Source organism: Homo sapiens, chromosome 16 (assembly GCF_000001405.40).
Source record: "Homo sapiens chromosome 16, GRCh38.p14 Primary Assembly".
NCBI classification, from domain to species: Eukaryota; Metazoa; Chordata; class Mammalia; order Primates; family Hominidae; genus Homo; species Homo sapiens.
Window position 1 is genome coordinate 75,860,831 of NC_000016.10, and position 22,501 is coordinate 75,883,331.

Sequence of the window (22,501 nt, forward strand, 5' to 3'; positions counted from 1 at the left end):
TTTCCCCCGCCTTGGTTGGACAGGAGAAGTCCGCGTTGTCCAAGAGCGCTTCCTAGTTGCTTAGCAACATGGTGCTCACAGACTCTCCACTGACTGGGGGAAGGGAGATGTCAAGGACACAAAAGTGCCGGGCCACAAAGACCCCGCTGTGATATCAAAGGTCCTTTCTCACTTGAACAGCACCACTTGTTAAGAGCAAATATATATATATTTTAAAAGCCTAGGGCATCTGGTATTCCAAGGTGGTCTCCCATCCCAGGACTAATCAGCCTTGACCCCTGCTTAGCTTCTGAAATCAGGTGCGTTCAGGGTGGTATGGCTGTAGACAACAGCAACGAATTTTTGGGGAAGGATTAATATGAATTAGGAATCCTGGCTTAAGTATTTCTCTAGGAAGAGAAAAATTATCTTTACAAGAAGCCTGTAACTGTAACTACTGAATTAAAATATTTGATTATATTTGTATACATGATATTTTCCTTGGTGATTTCTACAGACCACAATATGTATTTAATAAATATCCTATACTATGGAGCCATAAGGAAGAATGAAATTATGTCGCTTGCAGCAGCATGGATGGAGCTGGAGGTCATTATCTTAAGTGAACTAACTCAGAAGCAGAAAATCAAATATCACACGCTTTCACTTACAAGTGGGAGCTAAACAGTGGGTTCTCACGGACATCAAGATGGACATAATAGACACTGGGACCTCCACAAGGAGGCAGCTGGGAGGGTTTGAGGGTTGTAAAATTACCTATTGAGTACAATGTTCAATATTTGGGTGATGGATACTCTAGAAGTCAGTCCCTACTGTTACACAATATACTCATGTAAAAAACATGCACACATATCCCCTGAATCTAAAAAAATCCATCGTCTGGCCACTTCCCTGCAAGCTATGTGGGGAACATGAGTCAGGCAAATCGGCTGGGCATAGCTCTTTTTCTGAGGGTGGGATTCATAACAAGGTTGTTAGTAGAAAGTGGAGAGGAAGGAGTGGAAAAAAAGGCACCGAGGGAAGCTACAGTTTCCTGAATAAGCGAATCTAAGGTGCATATATTGCATATATGCAGTCAAGTGTTAAACTTTTAAAGCTCCCTAGACTGTGTAAACACGAAAGAAAGTCTCTTTATGGGTGGCAACGATGTTGTGGTGTCTCATTTTGTGAGCTAATAAGCCAGTTGGGCTGACACTCTCATGGTTTCAAGCACTCCTCCTCGCAGGAACCTCTCAGCTCTCCAGCTCAAAGATTTCTGATGATCAGAGAATGGCAGCTTCAGGGCTCTGGGTGGTAGCTGGTTGCCCAGCCACCGACTGAGGATGTCTAAAAGCAACCTTGTTACCTCCTCTCAGTGCAGCAGCTCCTGCTTCCAGCCACGGATGTCGCAGAAATCTTCTTTGATCTTTCTCAGGCTCACTACACACCCTGCCTTTTGTTTTACAAGGTGCTGTATGGAAGGAACCTTTCCCATTCCCACTTGACTCCCTAGCGACATCACACTCGGACTGTTACACAGATGCGCACACGGCGTTGTGTGTGTGTGTGTGTGTGTGTCCTCAGGTAGGCTCTTGCTGATAGGCTATCTTTTTTTTTTTTTTTTTTTTTGAGACGGAGTTTTGCTTTTGTTGCCCAGGTTGGAACGGAATGGTGTAATCTTGACTCACTGCAACCTCCGCCTCCCGGGTTCAAGCGATTCCCCTGCCTCAGCCTCCTGAGTAGCCAGGATTACAGGCGCTTGCCACCATGCCCGGCTAATTTTTATATTTTTAGTAGAGACGGGGTTGCACCATGTTGGTCAGGCTGGTCTTGAACTCCTGACCTTGTGATCCACCCGCCTCGGCCTCCCAAAGTGCTGGGATAACGGGCGTGAGCCACCGTGCCCGGCAGATAGGCTCTTATCATAAATGCCATTTACTTTCCTTACAAGGATTTACAATAAGTAGCCAAGTGCTAGGCACAGCAGACATACAATTCCATTAATTAAACAAACTGCCATGGAAATAGGAAGCCTCCTTCAAAGCAACTTAGAATATTTAAGAAAAAAATCTAAATGAGAGAGATAATCTCTGTTAATACAGGTTCTGGAAATGCTGCTCTTTGGCTAGTTTGTTCCACCCTGGATGTCCATATCTTACTTTATAACAGATAACATCCACTTTATATTTTTAAACGGATGGATGAAGTTTTTCTTTTTTTCTTTGAGATGGAGTCTCGCTCTGTCGCCCAGGCTGGAGTGCAGTGGCGCGATCTCAGCTCACTGCAAGCTCCGCCTCCCGGGTTCACGCCATTCTCCTGTCTCAGCCTCCCGAGTAACTGGGACTACAGGCGACCGCCACCACGCCCGGCTAATTTTTTTTAATTTTTATTTTTAGTAGAGAGGGGGTTTCCCCGTGTTAGCCAGGAGGGTCTCGATCCCCTAACCTCGTGATCCGCCAGTCTCGGCCTCTCAAAGTGCTGGGATTACAGGCGTGAGCCATCGCGCCCGGCCGGATGAAGTTTTTAACTCGAAATTTTATAACTACCTTAAAATAATTTCTTTGGAGTTTCTGAACCCTTTTGCAATAATAATATGATAATACTTATCATGTGAAGATAATTTACTCTGAATCTGTGTATCCTTGAAATTGACTTGGATTAAAAAAATAAATTTGTGCTATAGGTCTTTCTCCTCTTTCCTGTGCTTCACAAAATGCTTGCTAGCTAAGGAGACATTTCGGTTTACCAGGCCCCGCAGTTGTCTTTCTCCTTTAAAGACTCTTGCTGTGCCTGTGTTGAGAGGCAGAAAGCACGGCTTGCTGATGGATTCAGATGTAGGGTCTACCCCACACTCTGCGGCTCTGCCACTCTCTCCTGGCAACTGCACTAGCTGAAGGATGTTGCTTTTGTATCACATTATAATCACAGCTGTGTAGAAGAAATTCATGGGTGGAGAAATTTTCTGAGCCTTTGTGGAGAGTTATTAAAATGATCACAGCCTTGGATTAGTTGATTCACTGGGATTAGTTGATTTACTCTGCACAATTTTTTGTAATAACTTTCAGTGGTGGGGTTCAGCTTTGAGAGATGGGCTTAGAGTTCTGGCCGAGTTCTAGCCTGGGATGTAGAGCTAAGTTGTCAAGATATAGAAGAGTCAGAATCATTACTTTTTACTGTTTATTTTAGGTTTTGCAGGTAAACCCCAGGTAAAGGGTTTTCTTTTTTTAATTTTAATTTTTGTGAGTATGTAGGGCATGTATATATTTGTGTGGCACATGAGATGTCTTGATCCAGGCATGTAATATGTAATAATCACATGATCGAAAATGGGGTATCCATCCCCTCAAGCATTTATAATTTGGGTTATAAACAGTCCAATTATGCTCTTTTAGTTATTTTAAAATGTGCAGCTAAATGATTATTGAGTATAGTACCTCTGTTGTGCTATCAAATACTGGGTATTACTCATTCTTTCTAACTATTTTTTTCTACTAATTAACCATCCCTACCACCCCCTATCCCCCCACTACCCTTCCCATCCTCTGGTAACCATCTTTCTAGTCTCTATGTTCATGAGTTCAATTGTTTTGATTTTTAGATCCCACAAATAAGTGAGAACATGTGATGTTTGTCTTTCTGTGCCAGGCTTATTTCATTTAGCATAATGAGCTCCAGTTCCATCCATATTGTTGCAAATGATAGAATCTTATTCTTTTTTATGGCTGAATGGTACTTAGTGTAAAGGATTTTCTCGACAGCTTCTCTGCCCATCTCTTTTCCTTCAAAGAGGAAGATGAAGGACTTGAGTCACAAAGTCTTGTTTCCTAAACATTAAGGAAAATATAAAACACAAGGAAAGGAAATATTTTCTCAAAGGTAGAACACTCTGAAGAGTGAAGGAGTGCTGTTTTGACTTGATGTGTGCTGGAGACATTTTCTTCTACCCAACATTCCCCAAATTTCTCCTTGTCACTTAACCACTAACCCTTTATCAGCTGGTGACTACGGTAGAATGGCAACTGTAGGTCTATTTCATAATATTCTAAGCTATGCAAAACATTGTAGAAATATAAGTGGTCATTTTAAAAAATGAAGGTAAATCCTATGTCTTCCATTAACATATTGTAGGGCTCAAACTTTAGTTAATAGGTTTTCCGTAATGTTAACTCCAATGCTTCCTGCCAGAATGGAAAACAATTGTCAACAGTTATAGATTAGAGATGCACAGACTGGCGTATAGGTCCATGACTAGGATTCTTTATACATTTTGAGGCTGAAAAACCCTCCTTTTTCTTTTTCTTTTTTCTTTTTTGTTTTAAGTTCTTTTTTTTTCTATTATTATACTTTAAGTTCTAGGGTACAAGTGCACAACGTGCAGGTTTGTTACGTATGTATACATGTGCCATGTTGGTGTGCTGCACCCATTAACTCGTCATTTACATTAGGTATATCTCCTAATGCTATCCCTCCCCCCTCCCCCCACCCCACAACAGGCCCCAGTGTGCGATGTTCCCCTTCCAGTGTTCATGTGTTCTCATTGTTCAGTTCCCACCTGAGTGAGAACATGCAGTGTTTGGTTTTTTGTCCTTGCGATAGTTTGCTGAGAATGATGGTTTCCAGCTTCATCCATGTCCCTACAAAGGACATGAACTCATCATTTTTTATGGCTGCATAGTATTCCATGGTGTATATGTGCCACATTTTCTTAATCCAGTCTATCGTTGATGGACATTTGGGTTAGTTCCAAGTCTTTGCTATTGTGAATAGTGCCGAAATAAACATACGTGTGCATGTGTCTTTGTAGCAGCATGATTTATGATCCTTTGGGTATATACCCAGTAATGGGATGGCTGGGTCAAATGGTATTTCTAGTTTAGATCCTTGGAAAAACCCTCCTTTTTCAACCTTTATTGCCACTTCCAGAAATTCCCATTAATCTTTCTTATAAATAAAATATTGTGCTTAACACCATGTCTTTCTTCAAGTTATCCACGTAACACACCAGTTGTTAGGTTTTGAATTAGAAGACTCTGAGTCATTCTTAGCTTGAGTTCCAAAGCTCCCCAGGCTTTTCCATTATACTTGTCCAAAGCCATTTCCCCTCTATGTTATAGCTGTACAGCTTTTTTCTTCTTAAAGAGATTACATCCACATCTGTTTCTATTAAACACCACTCTGCTTATCTTTTTTTCCCTCCAAATTGTCAAGGGCGCCTCTTTCTTCTTAATTCTGTGTCCTAGCCTCATCTCTACGGAGATTTATCTAAGACCTGCCTGGAGGAAATATCTTATTAAAATGTAAATAGATTCTCAACATTTCAAACACATTCAATTCATCCTAATTTGGCTATTTATTTGTTGAGTTCATATTTCTATTTCTTAAAAAAATTTAAAAGACAGCAACTTTAAATGGAGTTTTTCATGGTGGGGGAGACAAGGCATTTGGAAGTTTATGTATAATTGTTCGTATGGAACAACTCTCTGTGCCGTAAAATTAAAAATTTATTTTGTATCCCTTTCTTTGCTTTTTAAGGAAAAGACATATCCAGATTGGCTTGGGGATAAGAATGTTTTAAGTTTTCATACCTGGTTGACTGAGTCCTTTGTCTTTTCTTATTGTGTTAAAGAACTCTGAGTCCTGTTTCGACAGATGCAAAATAGAAGTGTGTTTCCTCTTTCCACTCGACTCTTGTAATGCAGTGTCTTTTATTAATAGGAATAAAATTCAAGAAATGGGAAATTACTTGAATTTCCCATTCAAATTACTTCAGAAATATGGCAATTGCAACTCCATTATTTTGTTCCTATGACAATTTTCAGGATAGTCAGCACAAACTAAATCAAGTGATATGACTAAAACACTGTGAGTTTTAATTAATTGATCTCTACAAAAATAATTTGGGGACAAAAAGGCTATACAATGGGAAAATATTAGCATAGTGATGACTACATCTAATGAAAATTTTCTAGGAACTATTTTTATAGCCATCTTTCTCTCTCTGCAGTGCTCTCATCCCTTCTACTGAGCTCATGTCACACTTTATGTGAATCTTAAGTTATCCATTGCTTGGCTTCCTCTGCTTTTGGAATCTGCAGAGAAGCTGGGCAGAGGCTCTGGAAGGGGCTGGTGGGAACTGAAAATGAGGATGAGGATGACAAGGCTGTTAAGCTGTCACTTAAGGAACAATGAGGGAGTCCTGCAGATTAGAACTAAATTATAGTAGGAAGTAAAAATATAAAATAATGTACATGTATGTGTGTGTGCATACAATCTCACTCACCCCCTTCCGCAAAACCAGCTGGTAAAGAAGCTGAGTATTCCTTGAAGAAAATGAGAAATAAAAACATCCCAGAAGTCAACACAGACATAATTTGTTCACTCATTTACTCATGCATTTCTTTCCATATTTGCTCCTTTCTCAGTACCCTGTGCTAAAAAAGATATTACAGGGGATAAAAAAATGGCCAAATATCTTTGAAGAAAGTAGAATTAATTTGGGACAATATTCACATATTTATAAGATGAAATTGTAATTTAAAAGGGCAAGGGTTTATTGCCTTTACACTGCTGCTGCTGTGCACCACTGGGTTAATGAAAAAAAGCCCACTTGTTTTTTTCTTTTTTTTTTACTTTTATTTTAAGTTCAGGGGTACATATGCAAGTTTGTTATATAGGTAAACTTGTGTCATGGGGGTTTGTTGTACAGATTATTTTGTTACCCAGGTATTAAGCCTAGTACCCAATAGTAATTTTTCTTGATTCTATCCCTCCTCCCACCTTCCACTCTCTGGTAGGCCCCAGTGTGTGTTGTTCCCCTCTATATGTCCACATGTTCTCATCATTTAGCTCCCACTTATAAGTAAGAACATGTGGTATTTGATTTTCTGTTTCTGCATGAGTTTGCTAAGGCTAATGGCCTCCAGCTCCATCCATGTTCCTGCAAAGGACATGATCTCGTTCTTTTTTAATGGTATTTCATGGTGTATATGTGCCACATTTTCTTTATCCCACTGTTGGGAGTGTAAATTAGTTCAACCATTGTGGAAAACAGCATGGTGATTCCTCAAAGTCCACTTGTTGCTAAAAGAGTTTTTCTTTGGGGATTCCTTTGGTTACACAACAAAAAAAGCAAACACGTGGTGAAAGGCTGTGGGTAATGGCTCCTTTCAAGACCAAATCTAGTAAAATTTCCTGAACTGATTCTCCTGGAGTCAGTCACTAGATACATAAGGCAAGGCAATAAATACAGCAGGAATTTGTATGTGAAATTCCTTCCAGCTGCCAGAGAAAGGCAACAAATTTCACTTCAGGTTTGATATGTAAAATAAATGATTGAGAACAGTGAAAAGGAAATATAGCATTCAATGGACTTCACTAGCTAACAGAAAATTAACTTCTCAAGTCCTGTTTGCCAGCGACATTGGTTCATTTCTGCAAACTTGCTGCAGCTTTATATAGATTGTTTAAAAGGTTAGATGTCATGACCCTGCTGCAACAAAGAGATACACAAGGAGGTGAATGTCAGCAGTGCAGGAATGCACATAAAAGGAAAATGTTTGAGCTTTTAAAGGTGAAATCACCAAAGCAGAGAATTAGAGTAAAATGTTTCCCCTAGTTCAACTGAGAAAGAGAGTTTGATGGGTTTTTTTTCCTAGACTAAGGAAAGGAAGGATGTTTATGTGGACAGGATGGTTATAAGATGAATATAATGGTACCTCCAAATGAACATCATTTTGAGCATCATATATTCTATTCACACCAGGGGCTCTGATTTATAATTACCCTAATTGAGCTCAGAATTGGGACAAATGGATATTCATGTGGCATTTTCTTCTTAGGCACTGAATATATTGGGCACATACTACCATAACAACGACAGGGTGCAAGTGAGGATTGCTTATTACAGCTTACTTGCAATGGATGTGCATTTCTAGGTCACTGATTCTGGCACTGCAGTGTTCATGGCAAACAGTGCAGCCAGTGTATGAAGCGAGATTTGTATGCAGGATGGTCAGCACAACTGGATGGACTTTAACTGGATCTGCTTGGATGACTAACTCTAAAGGAAGCCTGGGTGTGTCTAGATAGCATCCTACCTAATGGGAAATGCACTTGAGTTTGGATTTGCTGATATCCGAGTACATTAAACGAAAACATATACTGAGTTGCGAACACAGAAAAAAAAAAAGCATTACAAACAGCAAGAGAAGTAGTGACTAAAATGTCTCCTTTAGTCCTGAATTCTGTATCCTATTTTACTGTGGGAGAATCCATTAGCAGAAAAGATAAGATTGAAGATCGAGATATTCCAAGTAATGTTAAGTCCCTGTCTATCAGAGCGTATCATCTAAGAGATGGTGTTAGCCGTTTTACTCTGTTCTAGGAACACACTTATCTTTTTAAGTTGATTACATTCAGCCATGATGGTATTCAGGTTGTTGACACATGATTTGTAAGAGGATTTAGTTTTCCTTAAACGGCAATATGAATTCTGAAATGCAAATCTCATCTCAAAACTAGTGCAGGTCAATTTGCAAAAACATCTTAAAACATGAGTGTGGAGAATCTTGAAATATTAGGAAGCATAATTTTCCTGGTTCAGGAGAAAGCAGTGTAGGAAGAGCAGGGTCATTAGTAGCTGATTTGCTGAGCCAGATGCAGGCCTTGTGACATGTTTAAGCTGATCCAGAGACTGATATTTGCTTAAGGGTGCAAATGTCTTTCTCTTTATTGAACTCTGAAAGCACTGCTGGAATATAAAATGGATATCTTATTCTTCAGTCTTAGAGGGAAAATTAGGTATTTTTGGGTATTATTGATTCCAGCCTCTATATTGAGTTTACAAAGAAAACAAGGACCTGAGGGGCTCCTGTCTGTTGTCCCAGGGTCACCCAGGGCAGGTTGGTTCTGAAGACATTTACAAACTAGGTATGTACACACAGTTGTATACACGTGCATATGTTTGTGTGTGTGTATGTGAAGTGCTTTGGAGTGGAAAGAGCCCTGCAGCCATGGATTCCAATACAGACTCACTGCTTTAACCCACACAGGCTGGGCAATTTCAGCCACGTCCCCTTGCTTTGGGTTATCATCTGGCCATGAGGAACCTGTGCTCAGTCTCTCCACTAACATTTCTGGGCTAGTATCTTTTGAATGTGTTGAGAAGGATGGTTGATACTAAATGTGTTTTCTTTCTGTGTGTCGATTTTCAAACATATAACGGAAGCCTATTATGTGCCAGGCACTCTCCTGGTTGCTGGGGATACCGGAGCAAAGAAAAGAGACAAAAGAAGGTGGCATTTGAGCAAAAATTTGGAGAAGGAACAGAAAGAGGAAATAATGTTCTAGGTAAAGAGAAAAATCAATTGCAAAGGCCCTGAGGTGGGAGCCTGCCTGGCATGTTTGAGAAAAAGCAAGGAGGCCACTCTGGCTGGAGTAGAGTAAGTGAAGGTTGAGGAATAAATGGTGAAGTTAGAGATCAAAAGGATATAGAGGAATAAAAAAAAGGACATGGGATTTTTCTGTACGTCAATTGGGAATGAATCATGATACAGTGTCGAGCCTGGGAAGCGATAGGGTCGGACCTGTGTTTTGAATGAAACACTGGCTGATATGTTGAGAATAGATTCCAGGAGGTGCCAAGGGAGGAAGTGGGGAGAAAAGTTAGGAGGCTGTGATGGTGATCCCCGAAAGAGATGCTTACAGTGAAGCGTTAATGGAAGAGGCAGTGAAAAGGGCTGAGATTCTTGATATATTTTGAAAAATAGAGCTAATTGGGTTGTTAATGAATTGGACATGGGCTGTGACAGAAGGAGAGGAGACAAGCAGGAACCGAGGTTTAAAGCACTGAAACCAGAAGGGTGGGATTTCCATTTAGTAAAATTGGGAAGCCTGTTGGAAGAGCCAATGTAGGGGATTAGGTGTTTGTTGGTTTGTTTGTTTAGTGGGGGGTAGGCATTCTGTTTTAGAGACAGAAAATTTGAGGTTCCTGTTTGCAGTCTAAATAGAGATGTCAAGGCCGGGCACCTTTAATCCTAGCACTTTAGGAAGTCGAGGTGGACAGATTGCTTGAGCCCAGGAGTTTGAGACCAGCCTGGACAACATGACAAAAAACTCCCATTTGTTCAAAGAATTAGCTGAGCATGGCGGTGCAGACTGTAGTCCCAGCTACTCAGGAGGCTGAAGTGGGAGGATTGCTTGAGCCTGGGAGGTTGAGGCTGCAGTGACCTGAGATCCTGCCACTGTACTCCAGCCTGGGATACAAAGTGAGACCCTGTTTCAAATAATAATTAAAAAAAATGATGTCAAGCAGACAGAGTTTGGGGTGTAAGCTGGGAATTGTCAGCATGCATCCGGTATTTAAAACCATGAGTTCTCCAAGGAGTGAGTGTATACATAGGCAAAGAAGACATCATTGGACAAAGCTTGGTGGCCCTACAGTGTTCAGAGAAGTCTGGGAGATGGGGAAGAACCATAAATGAAACTGAAGAGAGAGATCAGTGAGGAAGGAGAAGAAACAGGACAGTGGGGTGATTGGGAAGCCAAATGAAGAGTGTCAAATATTGCTGTTATGTCAATGTGGGAGAAAACTGATAGAGATGAGAATGAGGGGAAAGAGGTTTTCACACTTTCATCTTTCACTAGCTGGAGATGGTGCCACTTCTGACTTTGCAAACCCTAGAATCTTGGTCTCTCTCTATTGCTTTTTATTCTTGCTTGCAGATGGAAGTTCTTTTTTGAGCTGGTCTCTCTTGAAGTACTTTGTCAAATCCATCCAATAGTGAGCACCTCATGCCATTAACATTCTGTTTTCTAATTACTTCCCATAGAGATACAATATAATTAGGTACATGAACTGTCTCAAAGGTTATCAGACATGATCATTGACCAAATACCTTTGCTCCTTCATAATGTGGCTTGCCGTCTTTCCAGTCTGTAATATAATTTTCCTTACTACCCCTTCTTTAAGTTAATATTTAAGATTTAGGTTTTAAGATTTTGACTGATGTCCCCTTGAGAACCAATGAAATGCTAGGCAGTCCCCAAATTCCAGTGGCCTAAAAGAGCAAGTGTTTATTTTGCACTCATGCAAGGTCCCCTGCAGATTTAGGAGGCTCTGGGGTGACTGTCCTTCAGGTCTTGGCTCAGCCTGGCACTTCCACAAGCTCCAAGGAAAGAGCAAGTGGTTGGAGAGTTGACCACCAGTGAAGTACTTCCAGTAGGAATTATACACCACTCCCAAAGCAAAACCAGATGGTTGATTCTAATTTCTAAGGCTTGGAGAAGAAGAGGAAAAAGAAGAAGGAGAAGAAGAGGAAGACAAAGAAGAGGAAGAGGAAGAAGGTATCTGAGAACAGCTTAAAGCTGGCCTCAGAAATGGTTTATATTTTACCTTTACAATCACAAATCAGTGTAAAGTCATATGAATTTACTTTTTATCTTCTAATATAATAGCAAGATAATTTTCTTGAAGAAAATTTGTGCTTACTTCCGAGTATTTCTGAGATTCTAAAGACAGAATAGCTAACATACTATGAACAGGTAAAGTTTTTAGTAAAACTTCAACAATACTCTTAGAGGGAGAAAGTGTACCAAGTTTCTATGATTTGAACTGTTCCCTAAAGTAATTCATCCCAGTTGTTAGCAGAACCTAAAAGTAAAATCACATCAACCCCTCCCCAAGACCTCTGCTCTGTTTCTACTGAGTATCTTTCCAAGGCACTCTTTGCTGTTTCTACTTTATTTTTCACAAGCTTGTATTGAAGCAGCACCTATTTTTAGCTGCCAACTACAAGTACTTTAGTTCCAATTGATGATATCATAAAGTAGTCATTGCACACTCAATGTAAACATATTTATACATAGTTGATCTAGTGTTAACAAGAACAAGTTATTTTACCATTAATGGAATGTTCAAATCTTAGTATTGGTCAAGGAAACTGTCTCTTTACTTTGCCAGAAAGAGCATCTCTGTCTCTTTGGGTTTTTGTAACAAAGTGTCATAGACTGCGTGGCTTACAAACAACAGAAATTTATTTCTCATAGTTCTAGAGGCTGGAAGTCTGAGATCAGGACGCCAGCGTGGTCAAGCTTTGGTGAGGGTTCTCTTCCAAGCTGCAGAGTGCTGGCTTCTTATTGTACCCTCACATGGCAGAAAGAGGATGAGAGAGTTCTTCAGAGTCTCTTTTATATGGGCACTGATCTCATTCAAGAGGGCTCCAACCTCATAATCTGATTACCTCCCACAGACCTCACCTTCTAATATCATCACATTGGAGGCTGGCATTTCAACATAGGAATTTAGGGGAAGGGGATGGGCCTGAATATGCAATCCATTGCAAAAAGACACAGGCAGAATGACCAACCCTATTGAAATCTCTGTATTCCAGTGGATTTGATTACTGCTTGTGTATTTGTAGTACAAATGAAGAAAAAGCAATACAAATAAAAGTGTTTTTGTTTTGGACAGGTCTACAATTCTATGAAGTTAACGAATTTCTCATTTATTAACTTGTCAGTTATGTGTAGTGATACCCAGTTCACAAGTTGTTTCATAGATTCACTCTCATTTGCATCTCATACAGTAAATAGGGAATGTGTTCATTATTTCTATTTTACAAAGAAGTAAATAGAAACTAAAAAAAAATCCAGACTTGCTAACATTTACACAGTTAGCAACTGACAAAGCTGGAATTAAAACCTGCTATCTGGTTTTCTTTTGTGCCATTTCCACAAGCAATCCTCTAGATAATACAAAGTGAAGAATATTAATTTTTGTATCATGACCTGAGATTTATTTTATCTCATTAAATAAATAGTTGTACTGAAAAGAGCACATGAAGCTGTTCAAGTAGTGCCTTTGGTTACCTGTGTGTCTTCAGCTATATTCTGGTACCATTCCTTCTGAAACTATTCCAATCAATAGAAAAAGAGGGAATCCTCCCTAACTCATTTTATGAGGCCAGCATCATTCTGATACCAAAGCCGGGCAGAGACACAACCAAAAAAGAGAATTTTAGACCAATATCCTTGATGAACATTGATGCAAAAATCCTCAATAAAATACTGGCAAAACGAATCCAGCAGCACATCAAAAAGCTCATCCACCATGATCAAGTGGGCTTCATCCCTGGGATGCAAGGCTGGTTCAATATACGCAAATCAATAAATGTAATCCAGCATATAAAGAGAGCCAAAGACAAAAACCACATGATTATCTCAATAGATGCAGAAAAGGCCTTTGACAAAATTCAACAACCCTTCATGCTAAAAACTCTCAATAAATTAGGTATTGATGGGACGTATTTCAAAATAATTAGAGCTATCTATGACAAACCCACAGCCAATATCATACTGAATGGGCAAAAACTGGAAGCATTCCCTTTGAAAACTGGCACAAGACAGGGATGTCCTCTCTCACCACTCCTATTCAACATAGTGTTGGAAGTTCTGGCCAGGGCAGTTAGGCAGGAGAAGGAAATAAAGGGTATTCAATCAGGAAAAGAGGAAGTCAAATTGTCCCTGTTTGCAGACGACATGATTGTATATCTAGAAAACCCCATCGTCTCAGCCCAAAATCTCCTTAAGCTGATAAGCAACTTCAGCAAAATCTCAGGATACAAAATCAATGTACAAAAACCACAAGCATTCTTATACACCAACAACAGACAAACAGAGAGCCAAATCATGAGTGAACTCCCATTCACCATTGCTTCAAAGAGAATAAAATACCTAGGAATCCAATTTACAAGGGATGTGAAGGACCTCTTCAAGGAGAACTACAAACCACTGCTCAAGGAAATAAAAGAGGATACAAACAAATGGAAGAACATTCCATGCTCATGGGTAGGAAGAATCAATATCATGAAAATGGCCATACTGCCCAAGGTAATTTACAGATTCAATGCCATCCCCATCAAGCTACCAATGCCTTTCTTCACAGAATTGGAAAAAACTACTTTAAAGTTCATATGGAACCAAAAAACAGCCCGCATCGCCAAGTCAATCCTAAGCCAAAAGAACAAAGCTGGAGGCATCACACTACCTGACTTCAAACTATACTACAAGGCTACAGTAACCAAAACAGCATGGTACTGGTACCAAAACAGAGATATAGATCAATGCAACAGAACGGAGCCCTCAGAAATAACGCCGCATATCTACAACTATCTGATCTTTGACAAACCTGAGAAAAACAAGCAATGGGGAAAGGATTCCCTATTTAATAAATGGTGCTGGGAAAGTTGGCTAGCCATATGTAGAAAGCTGAAACTGGATCCCTTCCTTACACCTTACACAAAAATCAATTCAAAATGGATTAAAGACTTAAACGTTAGACCTAAAACCATGAAAACCCTAGAAGAAAACCTAGGCATTACCATTCAGGACATAGGCATGGGCAAGGACTTCATGTCTAAAACACCAAAAGCAATGGCAACAAAAGCCAAAATTGACAAATGGGATCTAATTAAACTAAAGAGCTTCTGCACAGCAAAAGAAACTACCATCAGAGTGAACAGGCAACCTACAAAATGGGAGAAAATTTTTGCAACCTACTCATCTGACAAAGGGCTAATATCCAGAATCTACAATGAACTCAAACAAATTTACAAGAAAAAAACAAATAACCCCATCAAAAACTGGGCGAAGGACATGAACAGACACTTCTCAAAAGAAGACATTTATGCAGCCAAAAAACACATGAAAAAATGCTCATCATCACTGGCCATCAGAGAAATGCAAATCAAAACCACAATGAGATACCATCTCACACCAGTTAGAATGGCGATCATTCAAAAGTCAGGAAACAACAGGTGCTGGAGAGGATGTGGAGAAATAGGAACGCTTTTACACTGTTGGTGGGACTGTAAACTAGTTCAACCATTGTGGAAGTCAGTGTGGCGATTCCTCAGGGATCTAGAACTAGAAATACCATTTGACCCAGACATCCCATTACTGGGTATATACCCAAAGGACTATAAATCATGCTGCTATAAAGACACATGCACACGTATGTTTATTGCGGCATTATTCACAGTAGCAAAGACTTGGAACCAACCCAAATGTCCAACAATGATAGACTGGATTAAGAAAATGTGGCACATATACACCATGGAATACTATGCAGCCATAAAAAATGATGAGTTCATGTCCTTTGTAGGGACATGGATGAAATTGGAAATCATCATTCTCAGTAAACTATTGCAAGAACAAAAAAACCAAACACCGCATATTCTCACTCATAGGTGGGAATTGAACAATGAGATCACATGGACACAGGAAGGGGAATATCACACTCTGGGGACTGTGGTGGGGTGGGGGGAGGGGGTAGGGATAGCACTGGGAGATATACCTAATGCTAGATGACGAGTTAGTGGGTGCAGTGCACCAGCATGGCACATGTATACATATGTAACTAACCTGCACAATGTGCACATGTACCCTAAAACTTAAAGTATAATAATAAAAGAAAAAAAAACTTAAAAAAAAAATAAAATAAAGTTCCTTTTGTGCACCTGCCCCTGGGGTATCTGTTAAAATTCATTTGTGGTCTCTTTAAATATACTCTCAACACCAAAGAGGGGGGCTTCTTTTTATGAGTAACTCTTTATGAATTAGCAAATTTTTTATTGTTCTCAATTAGTAGAAATGCTTTAGCATCTTGAATAGTGTTCTTGTTTCAGGATTTTGTTCATCTGACTTATTACAGAGATTAGAGCATGTGCTTCTCTCTCTTTTAAAATTAAAAACTTTTCATTTTGATTGCTTTTGGGGTACAAGTGGTTTTTGGTTACATGAATGAATTGTGTAGTGAAGTCTGAAATTTTAGTGCACCTGTCACTCAAGTACTGTACATTGTACCCAATATGTAGTTTTTAATACCTTGTTCCACCCCTGCCCCCACTTTTGAGTCTCTGGAGTCCATTATATCATTTTTATGCCTTTGCATACCTATAGTTTAGCTCCCACTTATAAGTGAGAAATACAGTGTTTGGTTTTCCATTCCTGAGTTACTTCACTTAGACTAATGGCCTCCAGCTCCATCCAAGTTGCTGCAAAAGACATTATTCCATTCTTTTTATGGCTGAGTCGTATTCCATGGTTTATGTATACCACATTTTCTTTATCCACTCATTGGTCAATGGGCACTTATGTTGGTTCCATATCTTTGCAGTTGTAAATTGTGCTGCAGTAAACATACATGTGCAAGTGTCTTTTTGATATAATTACTTCTTTTCCTTTGGGTAGATACCCAGTAGTAGGATTGCTGAATGGAATGGTAGATCTACCTTTAGTTCTTTAAGAAGTCTGCATACATATTTCCATAGAGGTTGTGCTAATTTACATTCCCACCAGGAGTGTTTAAACATTCCCTTTTCAACACATCCATGCCAGCATCTGTTGTTTTTTGACTTTTCAGTAGTGGCCATTCTTGCAGGAGTAAGGTGGTATCTTGTTGTGGCTTTAGTTTGTATTTGCCTGATGATTAGTGATGTTGAGCATTTTTTCATGTTTTTTGGCCATTTGTATTTCTTTTTTTGAGAAATGTCTGTTCATGTCATTTGCCCACTTGATAGGATTACTTGTCTCTTCTTGCTGATTTGTTTGAGTTCCTTGTAGATTCTGAATATTAGTCCTTTCTTGGATGCATAGTTTGCAAATATTTTCTCCCATTCTCTGGGTTGTGTGTTTACTCTGCTGATTATTTCTTTTACTGGCACACATGTACTTTTCTCTTAGCTTTTCAATTTGTTGATTATAATTGGAGTTTTGGAATGAATAATTTGATGAAACTGGATCCAAAGTTACTACTTTTCCACAATAGGATTGAATCATCAGTTTATTTTTAGGGGGGCATTTGTTGAGTAAAATACTGGTAAGAATCAGTTCTCTAAAAAAAAGATAGACCTTGAAATCAGAATTAATTTATTTTTCAAGTTTCCCATTAGGTAATTCTGTACTCTTAGGCAATTTATTTTATCTCTCTGTATTTAGATTTCTTTCTTAGATGCCTGGAGGGCATCACCACACAATTTTTAACGATGCATACATGATATATTCAATTTTGTTTTAAGTTTGATGGGAAGGATATCACATAATCTTAATATAATTCTATGATTAATATGTTGTCTAAGGCAATGTTACGACCCTCCAGGTGATCTGGTGAGTGAGCATTCTATATGGAATGAGAGCTAAGCCCAAAATACTTCTGGTATCAGTTTCTCTCTACTAGAGAACCTGCTGAAATAATAAAAATTTCCTGAAAAACATTCAATGACAATTTGAGGTTAAAGATATCATTCATTATAAAATTGGACTCCAAAGTTTAAATATAATCAAGGTTTAATTTTAAAACTGTCTTAAAGGACATGTGCAAAATATATTGGACCAGAATTAGAAAGAGATCAATATGACTTTCACTTTCAAGAATAATGTGATGGCTCAGAGCAGGCAAGTGTGATCACTGCAAAATAAAAATGCCTAATAAAATATTTACAAATTTTGAAGGTATCAGAGTGCTGTGGAAGCATCCTGGATTAGATGAACCAAAATTCCAGAGAGGAGAGAATATATCAGAGGTGAGATACTGATTTCTAGCTGTGCGTGTGTTTTTCGATGGGAATTTTGCCCTGATCCTAATACATAATGAAAGATGGGGATCTAGCTCAAAGTATTTTGAGAGAGAGAGTGAAAAGTCCTCCAGTGTTGACGTGCAAAGAGAATAAAGATCCATCTGGGAGGAAACACAAAGCTGGTCCTTCCAGAAATACTTTTTTTGGGCAGATTTTGAGACTATCAGGGATTTTGTGTTACAGGGCTAGGCTGGAAACCCTGAAGGCAAGAGAGATTTCCCACAGTTTCCTGGGGTGAGGGAACAGACCCATCAGGCTATTAATCTAAAATTTTAGAAACCCATGCCTCAGGAATACAAGTGAACCAAAGAGAGAAAGTCTTATGCAAATGGCAGCCTAGCTCCAACCCAGATTAATTTACAATTGTTTTGAGCCAATCAATTAATTACTTTATCATGAAATGGGAATCTGTCTCTAGTGGAAGATAATATAATATCTGGATTATGAATGGTTCTTTCATAAACCATATTCAATGTACAATAAAAACTCGTATGCACAAAGAGGCAATCAAATATGACCTATTATGATGGAAAAATGTTGGTGAGAGGCTCAGACTTAGAAATGATCCAGATTTGGAGTTAGCATAAAGTATTTTAAAATAACTATTAAAATATGTACAAGAAAAGAGAGAAAACAATGGATAAAATAGATGAAAGAATAGACTGTGTCAACAAAAAATGAAAATTGATAAAAAATTCAATGGACATTATAAACCAAAAAATATACATTGAAAACTAAATATTCAGTGGAGAGTTTTAACAGCAGATTGAAGAGCAAATACAGGACTAAAAAATTAGAAGGCAGGGTGGAATAAAATACCAAAGTAAACTACAAAGAGGAAAACTAATCATAATAACAGCAACACTCAAAAAACCAGAACAAAGCATAAGTGAAAAGTGGCACATGTTCAAAAGGCTTAACATATAAATATTGGAGTCCCAAAAGGGGAGATGTGAAAAAATGGGCCAGCAGCAATACTTGAAACGGTGAAGGGTGAGAATTTTCAAAAACATGAACCCACAATTTCAAGAAGCTCAGTAAATTCTAAGCAGGATAAAATCAGAGAAAAGCCACATATTGGCACATAATGGGAACATGGCTGAAACCCAAAGACAGAACAAAAAAAGTGCTATAGAAAAAGAGTCCTATTATTCAACTCCCACTTATGAGTGGGAGTTGAACAGTGAGAACACATGGACACAGGGAGGGGAACATCACACACTGGGGCCTTTTAGGGGTTGGGGGGCAAGGGGAGGGAGAACATTAGGACAAATACCTAATGCATGTGGGGCTTAAAACCTAGATGATGGGTTGATAGGTGCAGCAAACCACCATGGCATATGTATACCTATGTAACAAACCTGCACGTTCTGCACATGTATCCCAGAACTTAAAGTTTTTTTTTTTTTTAAGAGTCATATTAACAAAGCCATAGATGAAGAATGCCTTCCAAGGAATGGTGATGGCCAACTTCTCAACAGAAATGATGAAAGCCCAAAGACAATGGAATAACAACTTTATTTCTTTTTCTTTTCTTGTCTTTTCTTTTTTTTTTAAACATGTATTTTAAGTTCGAGGGTACATATAAAGGCTTGTTACGCAGGTAAACTCATGTCACAGGGGTTTGTTATACAGATTTTTTCATCACCCAGGCATTAAGCCCACACCCAATAGCTATCTTTTCTGCTCCTCTCCCTTCTCCCACCCTCCACCCTCAAGTAGAACCAAGTGTCTGTTGTATCCTTCTTTGTGTTAATACATTCTCATCATTTAGCTCCCACCTATAAGCAAAAAGATGCGGTATTTGGTTTTCTGTTCCTGCATGAGTTTGCTAAGGATGAAAGCTTTCAGCTCCATCCACGTTCACACAAAAGACATAATTTCATTCTTTTTTATGGCTGCATAGGATTCCATGGTGTATATATACCACATTTTCTTTATCCAGGAATTATAACCTTAAAGTAGTGAATTAAAATAACCACCAGCTCAGAATCCATATACTAGTGAAAAGTTCCTTAAAAATGAAGGCACAATAGATGTTTTCAGACAAATGAAAACTGAAACTAATTGTCATCAGAAGGTTGTAATTGAAAGAAATGATAAAGGAGGTTATACACACAGGAGGAATATGATCCTAGATGGAAACATGGAGATTCAGGAAGTGATGGCCAATGCCCAAAAGAGTAAACTTGTGAATAAATATAAATGACTATCGACAACACACAACAATGAACCTAATATCTTGTAGATTTTAAATCATGGGTGGCATGAGGAAAATAATGGAAGCAGGGTAAAGGAAGTTAAAGTGTTTTAAAGTACCAGGAAAAAAGTACTAATCTGTATTGCACAGTACTAAGGAAAGCAAGAACATTTAAATCTCCATTATAACTACTTAAAATAGTCACGGAATACTTTCTGTAAAGTAAATAGAAATAAAAAATGGAATAATAAAATAGCCAAATTCAAAAGAAGATGCTAATTGCACTAAATGTTTATGGACTAAATGCATGCTAGCACACATCAGTTTTAGAATCTAATCTACATATACAGGCATAAAACATATTGTAATATATGAGAATAGATATTTTAAATTGATTTACACATGTAAAAATATGTTTCAAAATAATTTTTTTGAAATTGAAATTTCTTGCAAATGAAAGCCACAGTGAGACACCATCTAACACTAGTCAGAATGGCTATGATTGAAGTGTCAAAAAATAATATGCTAGTGAGGTCGTGGAGAAAAAGGAATGCTTATACACTGTTGGTGGGAGTGTAAATTAATTTACCTATTGTGGAAGACACTGTGGTGATTCCTCAAAGACCTAAAGACAGAAATACCATTTGACCCAGCAATCCCATTACTGGGTGTATACCCATATACCCAAAGGAATATAAATCGTTCTATTATAAAGACACATATGCCTGTGTATGTTCATTGCAGCACTATTCACAGTAGCAAAGACATGGAATCAACCTAAGTGCCCAGCAATGATGATTTGTATAAGAAAAATGTGGTACATATATACCATGGAATACTATGCAGCCCTAAAAAAGAATGAGATGATGTCCTTTGCACGGACATGGATGCAGCTGGAGGTCATTATCCTTAGCAAACTAACACAGGAATAGAAAACCAAACACCACATGGTCTCACTTATAAGTGGGAGCTAAATGATGAGAACACGTGGACACATAAAGGGGAACAACACACACTGGGGTCTTTCTTTTTTTTTTTTTTTTTTTTTTTTTTTTTTTGAGACGGAGTCTCGCTCTGTCGCCCAGGCCGGACTGCGGACTGCAGTGGCGCAATCTCGGCTCACTGCAAGCTCCGCTTCCCGGGTTCACGCCATTCTCCTGCCTCAGCCTCCCCAGTAGCTGGGACTACAGGCGCCCGCCACCGCGCCCGGCTAATTTTTTGTATTTTTAGTAGAGACGGGGTTTCACCTTGTTAGCCAGGATGGTCTCGATCTCCTGACCTCATGATCCACCCGCCTCGGCCTCCCAAAGTGCTGGGATTACAGGCGTGAGCCACCGCGCCCGGCAACACTGGGGTCTTTCAAATGGTGGAGGATGGGAGGAAGGAGAGGATCAGGAAAAATAACTAATGGGTATTAGGCTTCATATCTGGGTGGAGAAATAATCTGTACAACAAACCCCCATAACACAAGTTTACCTATGTAACAAACCTGAACTTTTATCCGTGAACTTAAAATAAAAGTTAAAGAAAGAAAGAAATTAAAATTTCTTTTCACAGGACATACGTGAAATATAGAGAATCCCTTTCAACAAGATAGATACGAGATTTATTTTGTAACAGATGTTGGGCGAGGCATTTTCTTACTAAGTCGGAACTTCCTCTTAGTAAATTATGAGGCTTTTAGAGGCTGAGGCCAACAAATACAATAATGTTTGCATTATCGTTTGCATCTGGAACCATATCTTGCATATAGAAAGATGGCAATGAATATTCATCAGTTCCATTGTGCATTCTGTTTCCTAGAGAAAGAACATATATCATTACAAGACAATTCTACTTAACAAAAACCTTAACATATTTAATTATATGTGCACAGTGAGTCTCACAGAGCACTTCCACATATTTTATTTCATTTCTTGGCCCTTCAAACCTTGTGTGGTATGTTATTCTGGGGTAATTATTCCAATATTGTACACAAGGAAACTGGGAGAGGGAGGCTCAGTGAGAGGTATGAGAGATAGAACGCAAGTATTCCTACTGCTCATTCAATGCCCGTGTGACATTTAAATACAGGCAACTACTTAACTGACTTCTCAGGAACTATTTAGCTGGACTTTAAACTTCACTGTGCAGAGGGACCATTCTTTTTTTGTTTGTTTTTTATAGTGACAAGGTCTCACTATGTTGCCCAGGCTGGCATAGAACTCAAGTAATCCTACTGCTTCAGCTCCCAAACTGCTGGGATTACAGATGTGAGCCACTACTGCTGTGCCGGGTAGCCATTCTTGAATAAGAGGTATTTACAAAGGTTGGTTATTTGCTGGCAATTACAACAAAGCAACCATGCAGAGCCACTAGAATCAATACCATTCTCCTCTGGAACTGGGATTAGATAAACTGGTAGTGAATATGAGAAGGTATAAAGCATGGTGGTGTGAATTCTGGTTTCAGAATACTAATTAGAGTGCAGGGTTTCACAGTGAATTATTTGTATTTCCGTCACCTGAAGACTCCCAGAAGGCAACTGGGCTAACTCACACTGTGTAATTCACCAAACAATTTTAAGGTTTTATTTTGTAATAAACTACGGAGAGTTCTTAATTAGTAATTAGAAAATGATTATACCTCATCTGTAAAAAACACACTTCTTTGATTATATTGATGTGACTGTGCAATTACATTTCAAATT

At 38.8% G+C, this 22,501-nt stretch overlaps 1 long non-coding RNA gene and 1 pseudogene across 2 annotated transcripts in view; one reads left to right on the forward strand and one right to left on the reverse strand.

The window, feature by feature from the left end:
* Window positions 1–22,501, forward strand: part of LOC105371348 (uncharacterized) — a 154,623-nt gene that overhangs the window by 100,781 nt on the left and 31,341 nt on the right. The window contains exon 4 of one of the 2 annotated variants that reach the window (XR_001752255.1): window positions 17,488–17,569. The exons of the other annotated variant lie outside the window; for it this stretch is intronic. This is a non-coding gene — a long non-coding RNA (uncharacterized LOC105371348). Of the gene's footprint in view, window positions 1–17,487; window positions 17,570–22,501 lie in introns of those variants that run through there. 2 annotated transcript variants of the gene reach the window in all.
* RNA5SP430 (RNA, 5S ribosomal pseudogene 430) lies at window positions 218–327 on the reverse strand (annotated as a pseudogene).